The following is a 20,908-nucleotide window of genomic DNA, read 5'->3' on the forward strand; positions in this document are numbered from 1 at the left end:
TAGTCAGGCTTGGTGGCGGGCACCTGTAATCCCAGCTACTTGGGAGGCTGAGGCAGGAGAATTGCTTGAACCCAGGAGGCGGAGGTTGCAGTGAGCCGAGATCGCACCACTGCACTCCAGCCTGGGTGATAGCAAGACTCTGTCTCAAAAACAGACAAAAAACAAATAATGAAGTGTCTCATATATCAGTGTGGTGAAACAGTCTTAGGCAGTGTTTGCCATGGGTGATGGGGAGGGGACAGACAGCACACATATGCACTGCTGGTGAGGGTGGGGAGGCATTGCAATGTTAAAGTTCAGTTTGGCCATATTATTAAAATTAATGCCACTAATCTCACTTGACTCATCTCCACAGCTAGAAATTTAATCCTATGGAACTCTCCCTTAAATACTCAGAGATAGGTACAGGGTGTTCATACAGACAGGAGGAGTGATGACAGGACTTGGTTTTCAGCTTGGGACACTTCAGGATGGCCTCCGCATTTCTAACAAGTTCCCAGATGAGTCTCAGAATTGCTGAATGGTGACATACTCAGAAAAACCATACAGCTAGTAAAAATATATGTTAGACCTGTTTTGTACTGACCTGAAAGATGTTGAAAGCCTATGGTTAAGTAAAACAAATGTGTGAGAATGTGTATAAATGAAACGAAAAAGGAAAAGAGATTATTATATTAGCCCCACTGGAAAGAGGAAAGTGGGAAGAACTAGGGGAGGAAATTCACTTTCCTCTTTTTTTTTTTTTTTTTTTTTTTTTTGAGTCAGAGTCTCGCACTGTTGCCTGGGCTGAAGTGCAATGGCGCAATCTCGGCTCACTGCAACCTCCACCTCCCGGGTTCAAGCAATTCTCCTGCCTCAGCCTCCCAAGTAGCTGGGACTACAGGCGCGCGCCACCACACCCGGCTAATTTTTTGTATTTTTAGTAGAGACGGGGTTTCACGGTGTTAGCCAGGCTGGTCTCGAACTCCTGACTTAGTGATCCGCCCGCCTCGGCCTCCCAAAGTGCTGGGATTACAAGCGTGAGCCACCGCACCCAGCCAACTTTCCTCTTACATTTCTATATTGTTGACTGTTTCACAGAGAACATATTCATATACCACTTCTCTAAAATTTCACAAAATGAATAAATCCTCACACATTTCTTTCTTTTTTTTTTTTGAGATAGTCTTCCTATGTTGCCCAGGCTGGAGTGCAGTGGCGCAATCTCAGCTCACTGCAAGCTCCGCCTCCCGGGTTCACACCATTCTCCTGCCTCAGCCTCCCGAGTAGCTGGGTCTACAGGTGCCCACCACTACACCCAGCTAATTTTTTGTATTTTTAGTAGAGACAGGGTTTCACCACATTAGCCAGGATGTTCTCGATCTCCTGACCTCGTGATCCGCCCACCTCAGCCTCCCAAAGTGCTGGGATTACAGGCGTGAGCCACCACGCCCGGCCAATCCTCACACATTTCTTAAATAGGTAGACCTAGCTCTGTGTTTAGAAATGCAAGATGGCCACGATACATTGTTAAACACAGGAACAAATGTGTTTGAATGGAAAAGAGAAGGAATATGTGTCTTATTGTTAACTGAGCTTTTCTTTGGCGATGTGCACTGATGATGCTACATGATTCTGTAACATTTGAATTTTGTGTAAAAGATGTGACTTACCTGTCTGATCAGAAACAAGAACAGAGCCCTGATGCAGCAGCCTCAGGATGCCCAGCCAGATGGAACTGGGGCAGCTTTCCTGAGGGTGGACGCAAGTATTTGGGTCACCTGAACCTGCCATGGGATAAGACCCTGCTGTCCTGAGGCAACCCCACAGATTCTGAGGGGTCCTCCCAGTATGGTGAGTCAGGGGCCTCAGCACACGGCTCCTTCCCACACAGGAATACAAAGATGGGCATGCTGTTACCTGGATTAGCAGTCACTTTCCTGGGGTCTTGTCAGAGTGTCAGCTCTCCATCCTGTGCTGCTATGACAGAATACCACAGACTGGCTAATTTATAATGACCAGAAACTAATTGCTCACGGTTCTGGAGGACAGGAAGTCCAATATCAAGATGTCAGCATCTGGCAAGGGCCTTGCTGTGTCATCGCATGGGAGGCATCACATGGCAGAAGGGTAAAGAGAGAGTAAGAAAGGACAGAACTTGCCCTTTGATTTTTTTATATCTTTTTTTTTTTTGTAGTCCAGTGGTCTTTTATTTTTGTAATACCTATTATGCCGTAAATTCAGAGGGAATGGGTACCAGCAGCTCAGGCTCCTTTCCACTGGCTCTCGCAAAGTGTCCTTCTCTGGGTGGAGCAGGCTGGCGCTTCAGTTGAACCCAAGTACCTTTCTCTGGCTTCCTTCTTTTTCTGATCGTTTTCCTTCACTGTCTTGGCTATCTTGGCTCTTAGAGAGCTTAATGTGCTCAATACACACGTTAATTCTCTTGGCAAGAATCTTGCCCTTGTTTACAACAATGCCAACAGCATGCTGAGTAACACTGTAGACTGCTCCAGTTTTGCCACGGTAACATTTGTGAGCATTCCTTTTTGAACAGTACCTATTCTTTTGATGTCTACAATATCACCTTTCTTATAGATTCGCATGTATGTGAACAAAGGAATAACTTCCTGTTTTCTAAAAGGCTTAGATAACATATACTGGGCCCCTCTTCTCTTCCCTTTGTGTTCATCATTTTGGCAAATTACTGGAAGATGGCGCTTCCAGCCAAAAGGCAGAACTTGCCCATTTATGATGGCATTAATCCCACCTATGAGGACAGAGCCCTTATGACCTAATTACCTCTTTTTTTTTTTTTTTTTTCTAAGATGGAGTCTTGTTCTGTCGCCCAGGCTGGAAGGCAGAGGCACGATCTCGGCTCACTGCAACCTCTGCCTTGCAGGTTCAAGTGATTCTCCTTCCTCAGCCTTCCGAGTAGCTGGGGCTACAGGTGCGCACCATCACACCCGGCTAATTTTTGTATTTTTAATAGAAACGGGGTTTCACCATGTTAGCCAGGCTGGTCTCAAACTTCTGGGCTCAAGTGATCTGCCCACCTCAGCCTCCCAAAGTGCTGGGATTACAGGCATGAACCACGGCACCCAGCCCCTAATTACCTCTTAAATATCCCACCTCTTAATACTGTTACGATGGCAGATAAATTTCAACATGAGTTTTAGAGGGGACAAACATTCAAATCACAGCACCCACCCTCCACCTGCCTCTCTTTTACACTCCAGGAAAATGCTCTCCAAGGTGACAGTCCAATGTTAGAGTTCAATTTGGCCATATTATTAAAATTAATGCAGCTAATCTCACTTGACTCATCATTTCCACAGCTAGAAATTTAATCCAATGAAACTCAGTACTGCAGCATAATCAGGGACACCCCAACTCCACCCCAGTGAGGGCATCCCATGGCATTAGCATCATCTTTGACTTAGACAAGACAAAAAAAAAAGTACAGTCCATCAGAGAAAAGATTGACATCTTTGTCTATATTTAAAATTTTAACCTCAGGCCCAGTGGCTCATGCCCATAATCCCAGCACTTTGTGAGGCTGAGTCAAGAGGATCACTTTAGGCCAGGAGTTCAAGACCAGCCTGGGCAACATAGCAAGACCCTATCGCTCCAAAAAAAATTTTTTTAATTAACTAGGCATGATGGCACACCTGTAGTCGCAACTACTGAGGAGGCTAAGGCAAGGGGATCATTTGAGCCCACGAGTTCAAGGATACAGTAATCTGATTACACTGTTGCACTCCAGCCTGGGCGACAGAGTGAGACCTTGTCACAAAACAGAAGGTAAAATTTCAAGGTAGCAGAATAGTCAAATTCACAGAGACGGGAAGTAGAATGATGGCTGCCAGAGGCTGGGGGAGGGAGGAATGGGGAGCCAGTTTTTAATGGATTCAGAGTTTTGGTTTTACAAGATGAGGAAAGTTCTAGAGATTAATGGTGGTGATGGTTGCACAATATTATGAATGTACTTAATGCCATCGAACTGTATATTTAAAAGTGGTTAAGGCCGGGTGCCATGGCTCACACCTATAATCCCAGCACTTTGGGAGGCTGAGGCAGGCGGATCACCTGAGGCCAGGAGTTTGAGACCAGCTTGGCCAACATGGCGAAACCCCATCTCTACTAAAAATACAAAAATTAGCCGGGCGTGCCCAGCTACTTGGGAGACTGAGGCAGGAGAATCGCTTGAACCTGGGAGGCGGAGGCCACAGTGAGCCAAGATCACACCATTGCACTACAGCCTGGGCAACAAGAGCGAAACTCCCATTTCAAAAAAAAAAAAAAAAAAGTAGTTAAAATGGTAAATTTTATGTTATGAATATTTTATCACAATAAAAAATTAAAATCTCTGCACAACAGAATCTACATAACCACAATGTACATAACTGTCGAAAAAGATAGCAAGTAGATACCTAAATTATCCATGAAAGAGTATGCAGTCATTGGGAAGAATAGAGTGATCTTCAAGATACAGCAAGTGAAAAAGATAAAGCTAGGACACTGTGAATATTGTTACCATTTGTATAAAAATATACAACATACACACATATTTTGACGGGCATGCATAGAATATCTCTGGAAAGATACATAAAGAATTGGTAACAGTTACATACCAGGAGTAGAATGGGTGGAGACAAAGAAAAAAAACACCTCAGCTGTACTCTGTAACCTTTTTTCCTTTTTTAATTTTATACGCACATATGTACATATTTTACGTATTAAAAATAAATATAAGAGGACTCCTGGTTTCCAGTCCAGCCTCAAAAAATAGCAAGTGTCAGAGAAGCGTGAGGAGGGAGAGTTAATGAGGTAGGGGCACAATCAGCAAGACAAAGAAAGGCTAGGAGCATCTGTTCCGGGCAGGACTTTGAAGGTCAGAGACGGACACCATGCTTGCAGGGACAGAGTAGCTCTGCAGGCTAGGGTAGGGTGTTAGGCCTGGAGAGAGCCCTTGGGCCTTGTAACATATTTCGCTGGCTTGGCTAGGGTGGAGGAGAGAAGGGCCACAGCCATCCCCTACTGTGCTCAGCAGGACACCCTTCTCTTCGTGTTCCCTGGACAGAGCCTCTATAGGCAGGTAACTAGCTGAGAGAAGGATCAAGAAACATTATAGCAAGCCTGGAGTTCAACAGGCTTGAAATTGGCCTCAGGGCACCACTGATGAGGCTGGAGTGGGAGCCACTGAAGCAATAAAGATGCGTTCCCACCCCAGGTTTCAGAGAGTAACAGGCAGAGGCTTTGTAGAACACAGGACCGCAGACCTTGGGTGCGGACGGGGGTGTGCAGGAAGAGTGAAGCTCTGAACGGTTGGAAGAGAGGAGGCCAAGAGAGGCCACACGGAGGCACCAGGCAGTTTGCATGGGCACCCCGCTAAAGAAGCAGACACAGGCCAGCCACCTGCTGGGATGGAGGAGGGAGGAGCCCTTGGGAACCTTCCAGAGGACTGACGGGAACAGTGATGGCAGGTCCCAGGCAGACAGAAACTTCTTGAGTCACAGGGTTATGCAAGTGCTGTAGGCAGCAGTGACAAAGAGCTGGATTATGGCGTAGGCAGGCTTGGCCAGCAGGACTCATAGCCCTCTCTGTGCCCGAGAGAGAGACTGTAAAGGAATGTGTCACCATCCATGCATATGAAGCCGATGCCTGCACCCCAAGGCCTCCGGCACCCTGGTGTGGTTTCCAGGCACTGGGTGGGTTGCAGGGGGACCTGCCGGGAAAGGGCTGGGAGACGCCCAAGGGTGGAGACTGGGGCAAGGGCCAGCCCACACCAGGTGCCAAAAACTACGGGATGCTTCCGGGGCAGGGACCATGGGGGCCCATGAGCAAGCAGGGCTGTGGGGAACTAGAACTGACCAGACCTCCCTTGGGGCCCCACTTGGCTCCAGGAAGATGCTCCTGCTAGCAGGACCAAGGAGAAGCAGAGTCCCCCAGGGATGGAAGTTAGAGGAGGTGACAGGCAGGGCTAGGCAGAGGGAAGGAAGGGGGTGCCTGGCTTAGGGCTGCTCCCTGGGGAGGCCTCTCTGCCCAGGGCAGCCTCCGTGAAGATGCCTGGGACCCAGCCCCTTGCTGAGCCTTGCTTCTCTTCCCTCTTGTAAGTTCCCACTCCAGGGGAAGTATGTCTTTCCCCAGCCCAGTGGACAACCCCAGTGAGTTCTGTCCTTGGCCTCTTTCAAGGGGAACCACCTCAAGTTAGCACTGTACAGACCCAGCCAAGCTGCTTACAATCAGCCCCAACACGCAGAAACGACTCTCAGCCCTCAGGAATGTGAACCTGCTTCACCACATTAGCAGCCAGTGAATTGTATTATAAAAATAATTAGAAAACAGCTAAAACTAGTAGGCTACAGAGTCCCTGGATTTGCTGGTCAAAGGCTTGGTTCTACAGCTCTCTGATGAGAAAAAAATGTTCCAAGCATAAACACTTGACAATAACCACTGCTGGAGAGGCCATGAGATAACAAACATCCTTCTTGTACACTGTAGAGTGTAGTCTTACCTAGTGCAATCCTTCCAGGGACAGTTTGGCAATATCTATTAAAATATAAAGTATGCAAACACCCTTTCATAGAAATTTATCCTAGATACGCCTTTGTATCAAGATAAATGCAGCTCCTTCCTCTGCGCCAGGGTTTCTCAATCTCCGCACTACTGACATTTGGACCAAAGAATTACGAGTTGTGGAAGGCATTGTTCTGGGCATTGTAGGATGCTGTGATGGTGAATTTCATGTGTTAACCTGACTGGGTGTGTCTGTGAGGGTGTTTCTGGATGAGATTAATATTTGAATTGGCAGACTGGTTGTTTTAGTCCATTTGGGCTGCTATAATAAAATACTAGACTGAGTGGTTTATAAACTACAGAAATGTGTTTTCATAGTCCTGGAGGCTAGAGAGTCCAAGATCAAGGAGCCGGCGGATTTGGCATGCGGAGAGGGCCCCTACCTCATAGAGAGCACCTTCTCACTGTGTCCCCACATAGTGGAAGGGGCAGGTGGTGGAGGGGGCAAGGTGGCTTTCTGAGGCCTCCTTTATTAGGGCACTGATCCCATTCCTGAGGCTCCTCCCCCATGACCTAATCATCTCCCTAATGCCCCCGTCTCCTAATACCATCACCTTGGGGTTGGCTTCAACATTGAATTTTGGGGGGACACAGACATTCAGACCACAGCACTGAGTGAAGCCGACAGTCCTCTACAAGGCGGACAGGCCTCATCTCTCAGTTCAAAAGCCTGAATGGAACAAAAATGCTGCTCCTCCCCTGAGTAAGAGGAAACTCCTCCTCCCTGAGGCCTTCAAACTGGGACATTGGCTTTTTCCTGTCTTTGGACTCAAAGTGAAACATCTCCTCCTCCTGGGTCTCGAGCCTGCCAGTCTCTGGCCTGGAACACACATCAGTGTCCCTGGGTCTTGCCTGCAGATCTTGGGACTCACCAGCCTCCATAGTTGCATGAGCCAAGTCCTTACAATAGATCTCTTTCTCTATAAATATCTGTAGTACTGGTTCTGTTTCTCTGGACAATCCCAACTAACACAGATGGTGAGCAGAATTCCTGGTATTCACTCACTAGATGCCAATAGCCACCCCCAGCCCCCACTTGCAACAACCAAAAATGTCTCCATACTGTCCTAGATGGCACTTGGGGGAAAATTTCCTGGGTGAGAGCCACCACTGTACACATGTTCCCAGGAGGGAAGATACAACTCCCTTGTCCAGGGCCCACATAGGGAGATCCTGCATCTTACCCTGAGTGAGGAAGATTGGGAGCTCCAATGGGCGTGGGGGCCAGATGGACAGAAGGCAGATGAGAAGTGACACAGAGAAAAGGCCGGGCCAGGCGCGGTGGCTCAAGCCTGTAATCCCAGCACTTTGGGAGGCCGAGGTGGGCGGATCATGAGGTCAGGAGATCGAGACCATCCTGGCTAATACGGTGAAATCCTGTCTCTACTAAAAATACAAAAAATTAGCCGGGCGTGGTGGTGGGCACCTGTAGTCCCAGCTACTCGGGAGGCTGAGGCAGGAGAATGGCGTGAACCCAGGAGGCAGAGCTTGCAGTGAGCCGAGATCACACCACTGCACTCCAGCCTGGGCAACATAGCGAGACTCCATCTCAAAAAAAGAAAAAAGAGAAGGGCAGCCACAGCAAAGCATGACTAGAACACTTCTGACACCCAGAGTTCTGGGGCGAACGCGATACCCACTGCACCTACAGAGAGCTATGCCAAGGCAGCCATAAAAAGGTACCCACTATAGAACTTCCTATGAGCAAAACTGGAAACCACCTCTGTGGCTGTCAGCAGGGACTGACTGGTCACCCTGCAGCGCAAGTGTGTTTCGGGGGGACACTCTGCAGCCATTCATAGAAAAGAGGGAGACCCTCCAGAGCAGTAAGCAAAACCTCCAGGTGCAAGACAACGTGTAGAGTATGGTGCCTTCTGGGCCAGGAGTGGTGGTTCACTCCTGTAATCCCAACACTTTGGGAGGCCGAGGTGGGTGGATGACTTGAGATCAGGAGTTTGAGACCAGCCTGGCCAACACGGTGAAATCCCATCTCTACTAAAAATACAAAATTAGCTGGGAGTGGTGGTGCATGCCTGTAATCCCAGTTACTCGGGAGGCAGAGGCAGGAGAATCACTTGAACCTGGGAGGCAGAGGTTGCAGTGAGCTGAGATCGCACCACTGCACTTCAGCCTGGGTGACAGAGTGAGACTCCGTCTCAAAAAACAGTAAATAAATAAATAAAAGTATGGTGCCTTCTGGCTGCATTTTTAGGAAAGGATGTATAGAAAAAAATATTGCAAAGGTAACCCATGAAACTGTCGACACAGACTTTTTTCAGAGAGGAAATGGACAACGTATTATAACATGTTTAACCATTCTCTTGCATTCCTTTTTCACTTTTTGAGGTTAAGGATGTGATCTTAGCAGTGGCATTATGCACTATTTCTTCCTTATGCTTTTCTGTGCTAAAACCCGACAAACAAAACTTACGGTCCCAGCATTTTTTTAAATTAATTTATTTTTTGAGACAGAATCTTGATCTGTCACCCAGGCTGGAGTGCAGTGCCATGATCTCAGCTCACTGCAACCTCTGCCTCCTGGGTTGAAATGATTCTCTTGCCTCAGCCTCCTGAGTAGCTGGGATTACAGGCGCCCACCACCTCGCCCAGCTAATTTTTTTTGTATTTTTAGTAGAGACGGGGTTTCACCATGTTAGCCAGGCTGGTCTCAAACTCCTGGCCTCAAGTGATCCACTCATCTTGGCCTCCCAAAGTGCTGGGATTACAGGCATAAGCCACCATGCCTGGCCTAGCAAGCTGACTTTGTACAATGATGCAAAGGATAAGGCATGGGAGACACACTTGCAGAACAAACCTGGAGACATGCATGGCCTGATTTCAAAACTCACCACAAAACTTCAGTAATTAAGATAGTATTTTTGGGCCGGGTGCAGTGACTTATGCCTGTAATTCCATCACTTTGAGAGTCTGAGGCAGGAGGGTCACTTGAGCTCAGGAGTTGAAGACCAGCCTGAGCAATATAGTGAGACCCTATTCAAAATAAAAAAGTTAGTCAGGCAGTGGTCCCAGCTACTCAGGAGGCTGAGGTGTGAGGATAACTTGAGCCCAAGAGTTAGAGGTTGCAGTGAGCTATGATCATGCCACTGCACTCCAGTCTGGGTGACAGAGCAAGACCGTGCCTCAAAAAAAAAAAAAAAAATTCTCTTCAACAAAACATACCATTAAGAAGAGGCTGGTCGCAGTGGCTCATGCCTGTGATCCCAGCACTTTGGGAGGCCGAGGCGGGCGGATCACGAGGTCAGGAGATCGAGATCAGCCTGCCCAATATGGTGAAACCCTGTCTCTAATAAAAATACAAAAATTAGCCAGGCGTGGTGGTAGGCGCCTGTAGTCCCAGCATTCATGTGGCTGAGGCAGGAGAAAAGCTTGAACCTGGGAGGCAGAGGTTGCAGTGAGCCAAGATCGCGCCACTGCACTCTAGCCTGGGCAACGGAGCAAGACTCTGTCTCAAAAAAAAGAAAAAGAAATGAAGTCTGGGTGCGGTGGCTCACGCCTCTAATCCCAGCACTTTGGGAGGCTGAGGCAGGTGGATCATGAGGTCAGGAGTTCGAGACAAGCCTGGAGTGAGCTGAGATCGCGCCACTGCACCCCAGCCTGGGCGACAGGGCAAGACTCTGTCTCAAAAAAAAGAAAAAGAAAAGGAAATGAAAAGACAAGCTACAGACTGGGAGAAAATACCCTATGTATCTCTCGCACAACAGGAACTCAAATCCAGAGAAAAACAAACTCTTACAATAATAAGACAAGCAACACACACACAGATTTTCCCACTGAAGGCAAATGGCCTGCCAGTTCACAACTATAAATTACAAATGTCAGCTAACAATTAAAATGTGCTGCACCTTCAGTTAGCAAAGAAATGCAAATCAAAACCACAAGAGAGACTACTACACACCCACCAGAGGAGCCAAAATTAAGAAGACCAATGGGTGGGCCTGGTGGCTCATGCCTGTAATCCCAGCACCGTGGGAGGCCAAAGTGGGCGGATCACCTGAGGTCAGGCGTTTGAGATCAGGCTGGCCAACATGGCGAAACCCCGTCTCTACTAAAAATACAAAAATTATCAGGGCATGGTGGCACATGCCTGTAATTCCAGCTACTTGGGAGGCTGAAGCAGGAGAACTGCTTGAACCCAGGAGGTTGCAGTGACCCAAGATCGTGCCATTGCACTCCAGCCTGGGTGACAGAGCAAGACCCCATTTCAAAAAAAAAAAAGAGGACCAACAATGCCAATGGCTGGAGAAGATACAAAGCCACTAGAGGCCTGCGCGGCCATGGGTAGAGAATCACTGGGAAGTTTCAAAGCTTGACCTACACTACTTAACCCACAACTCTGCAATTCACTTCCACTCCTAGGTATCTACTCAAGGGAAATGAAACCTATGTCCCAACAAATATCTATAACTGAATGTTCACAACATTTTTATTTTTGATAGTCCCCAACTGGAAACTATCTAAATGTCCATCAGTGGATGAGTGAATAAAGTATGCAAAACCCTGTTCTGCAATTGTGAGGCACAGACCACTGGTGTGTACAACACCCACGAATCTCAGAAACATGCTGAGCAAAAGAAACACCAAAAGTCATCCCCAACAGAAGGCAGATCCGTGGTTGCCTGGGACCAAGGGTAGGGACTGACCTCAAAGGGCACCGGTGGGCTTTGTGGAGTTGTGGACATGTTCTATATCTTTATTGAGGTGCTGGTTACACTTATTAAAAGAGAGCAAGCTGAACTTACATGGGTGCATTTTCTTGTATGTATATCTCAATAAAGTTAATTAAAAAAAAATCCGGATTCAGCTGGGTGTGGTGGCTCATGCCTGAATAATCCTAGCACTTTGCGAGGCCAAGGCAGGAGGATCACCTGAGGCCAGGAGTTTGAGACTGGCTTAGGCAATATAGCAAGACCCCACCTCTAAAAAAAAATTTTTTTGTTTTTGAGACAGTGTCTCACTCTCTTGCCCAGGCTGGAGTGCAGTGCCGTGATCTTGGCTCACTGCAGCCTCAGCCTCCTGGGCTCAGGTGATCCTCCCACTTCAGCCTCCCTAGAGCTGGGACTACAGGCATGTACCAGCACATCCAGCTAATTTTTGTACTTTTTTGTAGAGATGGGGTTTTATTATGTTGCCCAGGCTGGTCTTGAACTCCTGGCCTCCAGCAATCCACCCTCCTTGGCCTCGAAAAATGCTGGGATAACAGGCGTGAGCCACCGCACCCAGGCACAATTTTTTTTTTTGAGACGGAGTCTCGCTTTTTTGCCCAGGCTGGAGTGCAGTGGCATGATCTCGGCTCACTGAAGCTCTGCCTCCCGAGTTCACGCCATTCTCCTGCCTCAGCCTCCTGAGTAGCTGGGACTACAGGCACCCGCCACCACGCCTGGCTAATTTTTTTTTTTTTGTATTTTTTTTTTAGTCGAGATGAGGTTGCACCCATGTTAGCCAGGATGGTCTCGATCTCCTGACCTCAGGATCCGCCCACCTCGGCCTCCCAAGTGCTGGGATTATAGGCATGAGCCATCGCGCCCAGCCTTAATTTTTTCTTTTTTTTTTTTTAAATTAGCCAGGTGCGGTGGCATAAGCCTATAGTCCCAGCTACTCAGGAGGCTGAGGCAGGAGGATCACTTGGGCCCAGGAGGTGAAGGCTGCAGTAAGCTATGATGGCACCACTGCACTCCAGCCTGGGCAACAGAGCAAGACTGCATCAAGCAAACAAACAAACAAAACAAAACAAGACAAAACCACGTTGGTAAGTACTTAAAAATCTGAAAAGACCAGTGTTAGTTGGGGAAGATGTGGAGCAAAGGGGACTCCCCCTCTGGTGGCAGTGGGAAGCAGTACAGCCACTGTGAGAGGACATATCCTCCATAAAGGGGACCTGCCCACTCCTACTCCTGGAGCACCTGCTGCACGTGGATGCCTAGGGCCCGTGCACAGTGCTTGTAGCAGCCTTGTTCATGACAGCAAAGCCCAGAAATGACCCAGACAACCAATAACAGGGACACACTCAAAGGAATACTATACAGCTGTAAACACAGACAACAGCTTCAGATGCCCACATGAAACAAACTCACCAATATAATGCTGAATTTAAAAATCAAATTGGAATACAGTACAGGAGATTGATATCATTTATACAAAGTTCAGGCCAGGTACAGTGGCTCATGCCTGTAATCCCAGCACTTTGGGAGGCCGAGGTTGGCAGATCCCGAGGTCAGGAGATTGAGACCCTCCTGGCTAACACAATGAAACCCTGTCTCTACTAAAAATACAAAAAAATTAGCTGGGCATGGTGGCGGGCGCCTGTAGTCCCAGCTACTGGGGAGTCTGAGGCAAGAGAATGGTGTGAACCCAGGAGGCGGAGGTTGCAGTGAGCCAAGATCACACCACTGCACCCCAGCCTGGGTGACAGAGCAAGACTCCATCTCAAAAAAAAAAAAAAAAGTTCAAAACCTGTAAACTAAACAAGATTGTCTGGGGACTACACATTGGTAGTAATCAACCCAAATTGAGGGAAGGGGCATGCACAGTGCACACAGGAGAAGGTGGTAGGTGGTAGGGAGGTAGGGCTACTCCTTCTTAAGCTGGATGGCAGGTGTTTGCTTCACTATGTCATAGTCATTATCTGTGTTATTGTGTACTTATGTGTTATTAACAAAGGGAGAAATAAAGGTCTCAGATGACCCCTCCTCCTTTTTTTGAGACAGAGTCTCACTCTGTCACCCAGGCTGGAGTGCGGTGGCGTGATCTCAGCTCACCGCAACCTCCCACTCCCGGGTTCAAGAGATTCTCCTGCCCCAGCCTCCTGAGCAGCTGGGATTACAGGTGTTCACCACCATACCCGGCTAATTTTTGTATTTTTAGTAGAGACGGGTTTCACCATGTTGGCCAGGCTGGTCTCAAACTCCTGACCACAGGTGATCCACCTGCCTCGGCCTCCCTGAGTGCTGGGATTACAGACACGAGCCACTTCGCCCAGCCTTCAGATGACCCCTTAAACCCACGATGCTGGCAGTGCCCTGAGCCATGACACACACAGGAAGCAGCAGAAGCTTACAGTAGCTCTCTGCACCCCAAGGATGCTTCTGAGGGGTCTGGTTTGTGTCTGGACCTCAGCTGTCTCTTATTACCTTCAGGCTGTCTTGAAATGAGCTTAGACGTCCCACTGCAAAATTCATTTTAATTCACTTCATTTCGGCTCCGTTGTAGGAGGCTGCCCTGAAAGCAAACAGCCAATGCCCTCCCAACAAATGCACACATGGATGCACCCCCAAAAGAAGTGGAAAGTGGGGAGTCTAGTGTTCAAATGAGCTGCAAGTGCCAGCTACCAGATCAAATAACCAGGGGCGACCCAAACAGCCACCACAGAAACTCCCACTGAAGCACCAGGGGAGCTGGAAATCATACGGTCATGTGTGCTCAGGCTATGGATCCGCAGCCTGGGCCTCGGAAGGGCTCCTGAGTGGGAAACTGGGGATGAACATGCCTGGTGGAGGAGGGAGGGAAGTTAGGGTGCATGGCTCCTCCTTTCACAGTGCTGGGGTTAAGTCAGTGGAAATGCATTTCTGGACCTCAGCTTATGCCTCAATAAAAGTTTAATTTATTGTCGGTCAGGCACAGTGGCTCACGCCTGTAATCCCAGCACTTTGGGAGGCCGAGGTGGGTGGATCACGAGGTCAGGAGATCGAGACCAACCTGGCTAACATGGTGAAACCCCGTCTCTACTAAAAATACAAAAAATTAGCTGGGCGTGGTGGCAGGTGCCTGTAGTCCCAGCTACTCGGAAGGCTAAGGCAGGAGAATGGTGTGAATCCAGGAGGCGGAGCTTGCAGTGAGCCAAGATAGCGCCACTGCACTCCAGCCTGGGAGAAAAAGCGAGACTCCATCTCAAAAAGAAAAAAGCCATCCTAATGAGTGTGACACACATCCTTTTACTTTTAATCTATTTGTGTCTATAAGAAACCATTTTAAATATAAAGACACAAACAGATTAAAAGTAAAGGAATGCACTTCACATCCATTAGGATGGCTATCATTAAAATAAAATTCATGGGTAGGGCAAGTACTATGTAATAAAACATTCCCTATTTCTCACTTCCATCCCTTAAAACATTGCTGACATTCATGTTACTTACCCATAAGCTATAATCACCAAATACATTTTTACTATTATTATTTTGAGCAAACTTAGATCCATTAAAAGTAAAAATTATTTTATCTTATCTTCATTTTTCCCCTTTTTTTTTTTTATTTTTGAGACGGAGTCTCACTCTGTTGCCCAGGCTGGAGTGCAGTGGCGTGATCTCAGCTCACTGCAATCTCTGCCTCCCAGTTCATGCCATTCTCCTGCCTCAGCCTCCCAAATAGCTGGGACTACAGGTGCCCGCCACCATGCCTGGCTAATTTTTGTACTTTTAGTAGAGACGGGGTTTCACCGTGTTAGCCAGGATGGTCTTGATCTCCTGACCTCGTGATCCACCCACCTCAGCCTCTCAAAGTGCTGGAATTACAGGCGTGAGCCACCGTGCCCAGCCCATTTTTTCCTTTTCTAATGCTATTGTTTCCTTATGTAGATCCAAATTTTAGACCTGTATCATTTTCCTTCTCTCTGAAGAACTTTAAACATTCTTTGCAAGGCAGGTCTACTGGTGATAAATTCCCTAAGTTTTGGTTTATGTGAGAAAGTATTTATCCTCCACTTTTGAAGGATAGTTTCACTGGATACAAAAGTCTAGGTTTGTAGTTTTGTTTTCCTTTGAAAACTTTCTATCACTCTAATCTCTTCTTGTTTGCAAGGCTTTTGAAGAGAATCTGAGGTAATTCTTACCTCTGTTCCTCTGTAGGTAAGGTGTTTTTTCCCTCTGGCTTCTTTCAATATTTTCTCTTTGTCTTTTGTTTTCTGCTATGTCTAGGTGTAGGTTTTTTGGCACATATCCTGCTTGGTATTCTTTTGAGCTTTCTAGATCTGTGGTTAGGAATCTGTCATCAATTTTTTAAAATTCTCAATTATTATTTCAAGTACTTCCTCTGTTCCCTTTTCTCTTTCTTCTCCTTCTGGTATTCCCATTATGTGTATGCTACACTTTTTGTAATTGTACCAAAGTTCTTGGATATTGGATTCCATTTGTTCATTCCTTTTTCTCTTTGCTTTTCAGTTTGGGAAATTTCTATTGACATATCTTGAAGCTCACTGATTCTTTCCTTGACAATGTCCAGCCTACTAGTAAGCCCATCAAAAGCTTTCTTTACTTCTGTTATAGTGGTTTTTATCCCCTTTTGATTCTTTGGGTTTCCATTCCTTTGCTTACATTACCCATCTGTTCTTGCATATTGTTCACTTTTGCCATTAGAGCCCTTAACATGTTATTCATACTTATTTTAAATTCCCAGTCTAATAATTCCAAAATCTCTGCCATATCTGAGTCTAGTTCTGCTGCTTGCTTTGTCTCTTGAGACTGTGTTTTTTTACCTTTTAGCATGCCTTGTAATTTTTTGTCAAAAGCCAGACATAATATATTGGGTAAAATAAACTGAGGCAAATAGGCCTCTAGTGTGAGGTTTTATGTTTATTTGGCTAGAAGTTAGGCTTTGTTTACTGTTTGGCATAGCTGTAGGTGTCAGAGGCTAAATTTCCCCTCTCTCTCTCTTTTTTTTTTTTTGTTTTGTTTCCCCTGGAGACTTCTTAATAGGGTCTGAGCCTTGCAGTTCCTTCCACTGTAATCCCTAATCCCCTGTGTTGTGCTTTTTGTTTTGTTTTGTTTTGTTTTTTTGTGAGACGGAGTCTCATTCTGTCACCCAGGCTAGAGTGCAGTGGCACTATCTTGGCTCACTGCAACCTCCACCTCCCAGGTTCAAGCGATTCTCCTGCCTCAGCCTCCCAAGTAGCTGGGACTACAGGCACATGCCATCACGCCTGGCTAATTTTTGTATTTTTGGTAGAGACGGGGTTTTGCCATGTTGGCCAGGCTGGTCTCAAACGCCTGACCTTGTGAACTGCCAACCTCAGCCTCCCAAAGTGCTGGGATTACAGGTGTCAGCCACTGCGCCTGGCCATCCCTTGTTATTATTAAACAGGAGCCCAACTGATATGGTGGTAAAATGTCAGGCAATGATAAATGATCTATAACCCCATGGTTATCTCAGTCTTTTGGTGGGTCTGGGCTCCCTGGGATGTTACAGTCACAGGTGCTTTTGGCTTTTTTCCCTCCTTAGATGAGACAGGAGGGCTACATAGAGCTGATGTTAGGAATTTCCATCTTTCCAAGTTAGTGAGGCTCTGGTGAAACAGTTTCCCTTGAGGCCAGGCCTTTGTTAGAGAGAACAGAGAGCTCTGGGCATATTGCAACATAGCTACTTTCCTCTTGCCTGCCAGTAGCAGGACGCTTTTCTTTGTTCTAAGTCTAAGAACTTGGAGGGGCTCCTGAAGGTAAAGCTTACAAAGCACCGATTAATGCAAGTATCCTTGTTTTATCTCCTAGGGAGATAGGCAGTCAGTCTTTCACCATTGAGTATAATGTTAGGTGTGGATTTTTCATAAATGCCCTTATCACACTGAGGAAATTCCCTTCCATTCTTGGTTTTCTGAGTTTTTTTTTTTTTAATCATAAAAGAGTTAGATTTTGTCAAATACTTTTCTTATATCAGCTGAAATAATCATGTGGTTTTCTTTCTCTTCATTCTGTTAATGCGGTGTATTACACTGATTTTCTTATGTTGAACTACCCTTGCATTCCTGTAATAAATCTTGCTTTGTCATACTGTATAATACTTTTAATATTCTGTTACATTGAGTTTGCCATTATTTTATTGAGAATTTTTTACATTTACAGTCATATGGAAATATTGCTTTTTTTTTTTTCTTGTGGTGTCTTTAGGTAGCTTTGGTATACATGTAATAATTGCTCCATAGAATGAGTTAAAAAGTGTTCCTTTTTAGGGAAGAAAACTTTTTTAAAAAGGAGGTTTGGTGTTCATTATTCTTTTCTTTTTTTTTTAGACAGAGTTTTGCTCTTGTTGCCCAGCCTGGAGTGCAATGGCACGATCTCAGCTCACTGCAACCTCCGCCTCCCGGATTCAAGCAATTCTCCTGCCTTAGCCTCCCAGGAGCTGGGATTACAAGCATGCGCCACCATGCCTGGCTAATTTTTTTTGTATTTTTAGTAGAGATAGGGTTTCTCCATGTTGGTCAGGCTGGTCTCAAACTCACAACCTCAGGTGATCCGCCTGCCTCCGCCTCCCAAAGTGCTGGGATTACAGGCATAAGCCACCGTGCCTGGCCAGTGTTCATTATTCTTTAAGCGTTTTGTAGACTTCAATAAGAAAGTCCTGTAGTTTGAGATGTTTTTTTTGCTGGGAGGTTTTAAATTACTGATTTAATCTATTTACATATTATAGGCTTGTTCGTATTTTCTATTTCATCTTGAGTCAGTTTTGATAATTTGTGTGTTTCTAGGAAGTTGTCTTTCATCTAGGTTATCTAATTTGTTGGTGTTCATCGTTTTTTCTCTTACATTTCATTTCTTCTCTTACATTTCATTTCTGTAAGGTTGATAGTAATGTCTCCACTTCTATTGCTGATTCTAGTTATTCACATTTCTTCTTTTTTTCTTTGTCAGTCAAGCTAAAGGTTTGTAGATTTGTTATTTTTATTTATTTTTTTTGGAGACGGAGTCTCACTCTGTTGCCCAAGCTGGAGTGCAGTGGTGTGATCTCAGGTCAACCTCCAACTCCTGGGTTCAAGCGATTCTTGTGCCTCAGCCTCCCAAGTAGCTGGAATTACAGGCACCCACCACCACATCCGGGTACTTTTTTGTATTTTAAGTAGAGACAGGGTTTCACCATTTTGGCCAGGCTGGTCTCAAACTCCTGACCTCAGGTGATGTACCTGCCTTGACCTCTCAAAGTGCTGGGATTACAGGTATGAGCCACCATGCCCAGCCTTATTTATTGACTTTTTAATTGTAGTCATTCTGACTGGTGTGAGACGGTATTTCATTGTGGTTTTGATTTGCATTTCTCTAATGATTAGTGATGTTGAGCACTTTTTCATACAATTGTTGGCAAAGTGTATGTCTTCTTTGAGAAGTATCTGTTCATGTCCTTTGCCCATTTTTTAATGGGGTTGTTTGTTGCTTGTTGATCTGTTTAAGTTCCTTATAGATTCTGGATATTAGATCTTTGTCAGATGCATAGTTTCTGAATATTTTCACTCACTCTTTCTGTAGGCTGTCTGCTTATACTGTTGATTGTTTCTTTTGCTATGCAGAGGCTCTTTAATTTAATTAGATCCCACTTGTCAATTTTTGTTTTCATTGCAACTGCTTTTGGAGTCTGTGTCAGGAAATCTTTGCCAAGGCCTATGTCCAGAATAGTATTTCCTGGGTTTTCTTCTAGGGTTTTTATAAAAAGTTTTAGGTTATTATATTTAAGTCTTTAATTCATGGAGTTTTCTTAATATGGTGAAAGGAAGGGTCCTAGTTTCAATCTTCTACATATGGCTAGCCAGTTATCCTAGCACCATTTACTGAATAGGGAGTCCTTTCCCTATTGCTTGTTATTGTCAGTTTTTCAAAGATCAGATGGCTGTAGGCGTGTGACTTTATTTCTGGGTTCTCTAACCTGTTCCACCGGTGTATGTGGTCTGTTTTTGTACGAGTACTATGTTGTTTTGGTTACTGTAGCCTTGTAGTATAGTTTGAAGTAGGTAGTGTGAAGCCTTGGGCTTTGTTCTTTTTGCTTAGGATTGCTTTGGCTATTCAAGCTCTTTTTTGGTTCCATATGAATTTTAGAATAGTTTTTTTCTAATTCTGTGAAAAATGGTGTTGGTAGTTTGATAAGATAGCATTGAATCTATAAATTGCTTTGGGAAGTATGGCCATTTTAACAATACTGACTCTTCCTATCCATCCATGAGCATGGAATGTTTTTCCATTTGTTTATGTCATCTCTGATTTCTTTCAGCATTTTATAATTCTTGTTGTAGAGATCTCTTACACCCCTGGTTAGCTGTATTCCTAGGTATTTTATTCTTTTTTTTCTTTTTTTTTTCTTTGAGATGGAGTCCCGCTCTGCCGCCCAGTCTAGAGCGCAATGGCACCATCTTGGCTCACTGCAACCTCCACCTCCCAGGTTCCAGCAATTCTCCTGCCTCAGCCTCCCAAGTAGCTGGGATTACAGGCGCCCACCACCACACCCAGTTAATTTTTTTATTTTTAGTAGAGAAGGGGTTTCACCATGTTGGCCAGGCTGGTCTTGAACTCCTGACCTCAGGTGACCCACCCACCTCAGCCTCCCAAAGTGCAGAGATTACAGGCATAAGCCACTGTGCCCAGCTGGCATTTTATTCCTTTTGTGCCAATTATGAATGGGATTGTGTTCTTCATTTAGCTCTCAGGTTGAATGTTATTGGTGTATAGAAATGCTACTGGGTTTTGTACATTGAATTTTGTACCTTGAAACTTAACTGAAGTTGTTTATCAGTTCTAGGGCCCTTTGGGCACAGACATTAGGGTTTTCTAGGTATGGAATCATATCATCTGTGAAGAGAAATAGTTTGACTTCCTCTCTTCCTATTCAGATGCCTTCTATTTCTTTCTCTTGCCCGATTGCTCTGGCTAGGTCTTCCAGTACTATGTTGAATAGGAGTGGTGAGAGTGGGCATCTTTGTCTTGTTCTGGTTCTCATGGGGAATGCTTCCAGCTTTTGCCTGTTCAGTATGATGTTGGCTGTGTGTTTGTGATAGATGGCTCTTATTAATTTGAGGTATGTTCCTTCAATACCTAGTTTGTGGAGGGCTTTTAACATGAAAGGATGTCGAATTTTTTCAAAAGCCTTTTCTGCATCTATTGAGATGATAATGGGGTTTTTGTTTTCAGTTCTGTTTATGTGAGAAATCACATTTATTTAATTGTATATGTTGAACCAACCTTGCATCCCAGGAATAAAGCTTACTTGGTCATAGTGGATTAGCTCTTAAATGTGCTGCTGGATTCAATTTGCTAGTGTTCTGCTGAGGATTTTTGCATCTAATTTTATCAGGGATATTAGCTTAAAGTTTTATTTTTTTCACCAGGTTTTGGTATCAGAATGATTCCGGCCTCATAGAATAAATCAGGGAGGAGGTCTGTCTCCTCAATTTTTTAGAATTGTTTCAGTAGGATTTGTACCAGCTATTCTTTACATGTCTGGTAGAATTCAGCTGTGAATCCATCTGGTCCAGGGCTTTTTCTGGTTGGTAGGTTTTTGTTGTTGTTGTTGTTGTTGTTACTATTGATTCAATTTTGGAACTTGTTATTGGTCTGTTCAAGTATTCAATTTCTTCCTGGTTCAATATTGG

General features: G+C 45.4%; 1 pseudogene, besides 1 other annotated feature; it reads right to left on the reverse strand.

Annotated features, from left to right (window-relative positions):
• RPL21P86 (ribosomal protein L21 pseudogene 86) lies at window positions 2,161-2,711 on the reverse strand (annotated as a pseudogene).
• Window positions 11,121-11,290: an enhancer, noted in NCBI's record as "experimental_109803 CRE fragment used in MPRA reporter constructs". NCBI's record gives its function as "activates a minimal promoter by MPRAs in K562 erythroleukemia cells, with activity observed for the non-introgressed 9:95448224 variant allele {active_cell/tissue: K562}" and the evidence as "EXISTENCE:reporter gene assay evidence [ECO:0000049][PMID:34662402]".

The sequence above is a fragment of the Homo sapiens genome, chromosome 9 (genome assembly GCF_000001405.40).
Source record: "Homo sapiens chromosome 9, GRCh38.p14 Primary Assembly".
Lineage (NCBI taxonomy): Eukaryota > Metazoa > Chordata > Mammalia > Primates > Hominidae > Homo > Homo sapiens.